Source organism: Homo sapiens, chromosome 2 (assembly GCF_000001405.40).
Source record: "Homo sapiens chromosome 2, GRCh38.p14 Primary Assembly".
NCBI lineage: Eukaryota > Metazoa > Chordata > Mammalia > Primates > Hominidae > Homo > Homo sapiens.
The window spans coordinates 208,819,824-208,825,823 of record NC_000002.12 but is presented as its reverse complement, the minus strand read 5'-3'; the positions used below and the strand labels follow the sequence as shown (position 1 = coordinate 208,825,823).

The window sequence follows — 6,000 nt, the reverse complement described above, 5'->3', positions numbered from 1 at the left end:
GTCTTACAATATGCATTTATATACATTGAAATTCACACTGGCCATATTATAATTTTTGTTTTAAATAGTCATACATTTTTAAAGATGATAGAATAAAAAATTTATTTTCTTTTTACCCAGATAATATCAATTTCTTATATTCCTCATTCATTTTCAAGGTCAAGTCTTCCCTTTGATATAATTCCCTGTAGGCTGACAAACTTCTTTTGGCTGTTCTGATACAATAGGACTGCTGGTGAAGAATTCTCATAGTTGTCTTTTATTGGAAAACATCTTTATTTTGCCGTCATTTCTGAAGGGTAACTTCACTAAATAAAGAATTCAAGGTTGGCTTTTTGTTTCTTTTAGACATCAAAGATGTTGCATTCTTATCTAGCTTCATTGGTTCCTGATGTGAAATCTGCTATCATTCAAATTACCGCTCTCTATATCAGAAACAAAGGCAAAATAAAGACATTTTTAGATAAAGTTAATATGTTAGAAAACTGTATTCAGCAACGTATTAACATATGTCATAATTCTATTGATCAAAATTGAATTTTTAGGTAACTGAAATCATTATGGCTAACTTAACCAAGAAATACTTTATTAGCGTTCTGCCATACAATCAAGCCACAAGGAGCTACCTCCTCTTCTGTGATGAAGAGGCTTTCATATCAGGAAGCCACTAAAGAAGAACCAGACATTTTCAATGGTGTAGCAAAAGTTATAGGTAAATAAATTTTTGAACCATGGCTTCCACTTTTATTTTTACTTCTTTTCTGCAACTGCATTTAATTAGGTGGAAGTAAACTATACAAAGGACCCCAACTAAAGGTGAGCTTCAGAAATGTAGCTTTAAGTTTTCTAGCCGCTACACTAAAAGAAAACTGATGGAATACAGTGATGCATAGTTCTCAACCTTTTCCTACACTAAAAGTTACCAAAGAGTAATAACAACTACACAACCATCCCATATACAAATGCAAACTTCTTACTGTCTATCAAAGAGGAAGAAATAAAGTCCCAACAATTTGTACATCAATTTCTGGATGATTGCTCTTCCTTTTCTAATTCAGTCATAATTACACATTGATAATGTGAAATATATGTGCTATGTTATAAAGATAAGCAGTACCAACACTAGCTATATGTTACATAAAACATCAGGGGAAAGAAAAATATAAAATAATTTAACAAATAATAATGTATAAAGTTTTATTAGATAGCATATACTAAGAATATAAATTAATTTTAATATAAACATTATAACAAGAAAAAATATGGGTAACTATCATAATTCTAGTTGTATTATGCTCTGTATATCGACTTCTCAATGTTCTTTAACTTTTATCATTGGCCAAAACAGTAACAGAAGATGCTCAAGGGGATACCTTGAATGTTACATGAATCTCTCTCTGACCTCATTTTGTGGCAGCTATATTTCCCCTTGATTTTTCAGGATTAAACAACTAATCCAACACGGTAACCCACCTCTTCTTTTCCTGTTCGCCTTTTAGCTGCAGACTGTGACAAATTCAAAATAACCAGATATTCTCAGTGGCCAATGCAACAGAAACACTGTTCCATCTCCTTTTGCAAGCATTCTTCCTTGGGCACTAAGATCTCCAACCAGCAGATCTCAATGTCCTGGGTTTAGAAACAAAAATCCTGTTAGAGTTCATTAAATTAAATATAGTGACATGTGCCAGTCCTACTTCTAACTCTTATTTTTAGACTTAAACATGGTTGTAAGATCACAAAGCTAAAACACGGCAGACTCAGGAGAGAAACAGGTACAATGCCCATTCCCATAGCTCTAGGTCATGGAGAATGCCAAAGGTAAAAGAGCTTTCAGAGGCTTAACCAGAAATCACACACTATCACTTAAGAAGATACATTTTAAACTCTCTTTCTTTCACTTTCAAGGATTTTCTTTTATGTAATATGGCATTATTAATGAAATAAATGACAGGAGTCACTTTGATTTCTGTGAGTGTACAGAGATTTTGCAATTAAAAACAAAAGGGATACACTGAAGACTATAATTTGATATGCAGTAATTATTTGGGGAATGGAGTAATAAGTGGGAGACAAATCCGAGCCTTTTTATCATTGTCATATGCTTTTTTTTTTTTTTTTTGAGACGGAGTCTCTCTGTCGCCCAGGCTGGAGTGCAGTGGCGAGATCTCAGCTCACTGCAAACTCCGCCTCCCGGGTTCACGCCGTTCTCCTGCCTCAGCCTTCTGAGTACCTGGGACTACAGGCGCCCGCCACCACGCCTGGCTAATTATTTGTAGTTTTAGTGGAGACAGGGTTTCACCGTGTTAGCTAGGATGGTCTCGATCTCCTGACCTCGTGATCCGCCCGCCTCCGCCTCCCAAAGTGCTGGGATTACAGGCGTGGGCCACCGCGCCTGGCTGTCATATGCTTATTAAAGTGAAAAATTATTTCTGAAACTTAACAAAATCTCCTTTATTAAAAATTACTTTTTCGTATTAGAAATTTAATTTTTATTGTTGATGTTAGTTTTTTCTTGACTGAGAAAATCTAAAGCGATACCAAAAGAAGACCCATCTAACCATAACTGAAAATCCACAATAAGTTAAATCAGCCAATTCTGGCATAAGAGTCTTGTTTTGTTTCTAGGAACATTCAGTTATTTTACATCTTTCAGAGATATTTATTAGTGATGAGTGTCATAGATTGTATTCATATATTATAATTGGGTAAATATCACAACGATCATTCAGAACAATGACAGAGTTAGAAAACAGCTTTCTAAGTCACAAAAATAAGTTAATAATTCTGAAGTAAATGTTTGGAATAATAGATTTGAAAATTAAACATCATACTTTTGTGTAATTAATGATCAAAGATCAATCATAATGAAATTTTAATATATTTTAAACTAAGCAGCAATAAAAATATGGCATAGACATATTTGTAAAATGCAGCTGAACAGTGAAACTCTAAAGAGTTTTGTTGTTGTTATTTTTACTTTTTAATGCATGTGTTAGAAAAGAAGAAAAAATGGAAAAGTTAATGATTCAAGCTTCCATCTCAAAATCTAGGAAAAGAACAGTAAATTAAACACAAAGAATATATTGGAGGGAGAAAATGTTTTTTAAAGTGAGCAGACACCAATAAAATATAAAGCACATATACATTAGAAAAAGTCCAAATGTACAATAGAGAAATGAACTAAGTCAAAATTTGGTTCTTTGGGAAAATTAATAAAATTAATAAGTGATAGCAAGACCAAAAAAATGAGAAAAACACAAATTACCAATATCAGAAATGAAGCTGTGGTTGGGGTGACCATCATTATAGACCCAACAGATATGAAAAAGTCTATAAGAGGATATTAAGAAAACCTTATATATTAATACATTTAATTATTTACATGAAAAAGATAATCTTAAAAAACAACACACCAAAACTGATAAAAACACATCAAAAATCTGAATATTATTAATCTATTAGAGGAATTAAATCTATACTTTTAAAACCTTCCCACAAGGAAATCTTCTGGCCCAGAGAGCTTCACAATCACAGATATATTTGTTCAAATACTTAAGGGAGAAATAATTTCACACAGTCTTACACAAATTCTTACAGAGAATAGAAAGAAGGGGAATACTTCCCACCTTGTTCTATGGGATTATCATAATTCTGATATTTCAAAATCTGAAAGCCTTCCTATGGATTTGGGAGGTAGAGTGATGAGTTACATAAATATGTGTAATTAAGAGGAGGGTTTTAAATAGCCTCATTTTACCAAAAATTGAGAGTCGATTGCTAGAGAAAACCAGTACATGTCCAGACTTCAAACCTCACTTTTGGCCTGGTGATTTTCCTTGTGGTTTGGAAGGATTCTAGTATAAAAGGAAATGACAGAAGAGTTTAATGGCATAGTGCTAGTGTAGGATGGTACTCGAGACGTCAAACATTGTCCTGTGAATTGATGACATTTATCTATTTTGAATATCCAGTTTATAATTACAGCTTCTGACACTGTATAGAGTTAAACCTGAATATTCATAAATGTGCTTTAAATAGCGTGTCCTATGTTACGGTTGTATGTGACTAATCCTATTAATTTCATAGCCTTATTTTGCTGATTGCAATGATTACTTGTAGAATCTATCATTTTAAACTCGGCAAAGCATCAATAATTTTATAATCCATCACAACCTATTTTTTATTATTCTATTTCCAACTGATTTTATATTTTAAGACATCTCTCATAGTATACATAACTTTCTAGTTATTACTTAACATACAAAAATATTGTCTCAGATAAACAGTTTGATGGCTGAATAATTGTAATTTGATTAGACAGTTTGTGGGGTCTAAGAAAATCTTGGTGAAAAGCTGTGGTTATAAACAGAAATTTATTTGTATAAAAACAATGCTCACATTAAATAATTTTGTCCATGGCATTTGAGAAGAAGGAATTAAGCATTGACCTATAATCCATTTCTATTTTAATTGCTGAGGGATCTCCTGGGAAACAAAAGAGGACAGAAGACCTAGTCTACTTTCTTTGTAAATGTGCTGACAATTGACATCATAGTAATTTGTCTAAAAGTATTAGTATCATTCACATAAATAGGATAATTAGAAGAGCCTGATAAAATATGTCTTAGTAGCATGTCCCAGCTTTAGGACCATTAAACTGAGATACTTCAGATAGCTTACTTTTATGACATTGTCTAAGATGCCATGCCTGTAAGTTGATATCAACTTATAGGAAACCATGCATTTTATAAAATACCGAAGGTAGACATACATAACCTAATTTACCAAGAACTTATCAGTTGTTTAATGTGACTACTTTTGTGTTTATAAAGTACCACAATATACTCTTACTTTGAGAAGGTATTTTGATACATTTCTATTGTTTTATTTCTTTTAAAATATGATATCAAAATTCCACTCAAAGCTATGATAAAGTAACCTGTGGTAAAGTAAATTGATATCAATTTATAGACATGGCATCTTAGAAAATGTCATAAAAGTAAGCTATCTGAAGTATGAAAAAGGTATGTTTCAAAATCTAAATGATCCCCACTGTATGAGATAAGAAACCTTGTACCTTACATTGAAACATCACTTATTGCAAGCCAGTGAGTGTGTGTTTGATAAAATAACATCTGGAGAGCTGCTAGAGACCAAGAATAATCCTATCAATATTATCACTTACTTTCTCATAGAATGAGAAGCCTAAGTCCATTGTCAGTAAATCATCAAACAACTTGAAACTTGTAGTATGTAAGGTGATGATTAACTGTTCACAGAGTTCTTTGGCTGAGCATCTGTGATTTAGTGACTATTTATAGCATGCTTTCTAGCAGAATACTGACATCTAGGGGCCTTAATTTACATTAACTGAAAGGGCTTAAGAGTGCTCACACTAATTAAAGTCATATCTATTCCAGCTAAGACTGTCTCAGGAAAGGTGCAAAAAGGAAGGAACTCTAGCTTACTACTAACCTGAAAATATTAATTTCATATTGATTGGTGAGGGTACATTCTGCAGACATAAAACTTTGCACAATTGTAAAGAGTCAGCATTCTTTATATTGAGAGCAGATAATGAAAAAAGCAGAGGCTAGTTGATTCAAAATGGTCAAAGGAATGTATTACATTGATGGAAAAGCAATGCGAGCTAGTAACTGGTGTCTTTGTCCCAAAGCACACATTTAGAATGTGCATTGTCTTATTTTTTTTAAAAGTGTTACTATGTAATTGATACTTGACATTGAAATAGAGGATAGTCAAGGTATAAATAGCTTGGAAACCAATGAAACACTGAACAATTAAGCTTCCACCAACACACAGACACTTTTACAAAGCTTCTTCCTGAATAGCTAGCAGCAGCTGTGAGAAGAGGCAACCATCAACCCACAACACTAACCAAGAAAAATAACACGGATTTAATCTATTGCATAAGCATGCCCAGGAGCAATGGAAACTTTATTAAAAGAAGTGCAATCTTGTGGAGACCTAATTCAT

At 32.8% G+C, this 6,000-nt stretch overlaps 1 long non-coding RNA gene across 1 annotated transcript in view; it reads right to left on the bottom strand.

Annotated features, from left to right (window-relative positions):
* Positions 1-236: 236 nt before the first annotated feature.
* LOC101927960 (uncharacterized) overlaps positions 237-6,000 on the bottom strand; it is a 282,946-nt gene continuing 277,182 nt past the window's right edge. The window contains exons 5-6 of the long non-coding RNA NR_136588.1: positions 1,474-1,629; positions 237-425 (exon numbers count right to left, since the gene is read on the bottom strand). This is a non-coding gene — a long non-coding RNA (uncharacterized LOC101927960). The remainder of the gene's footprint in view (positions 426-1,473; positions 1,630-6,000) is intronic.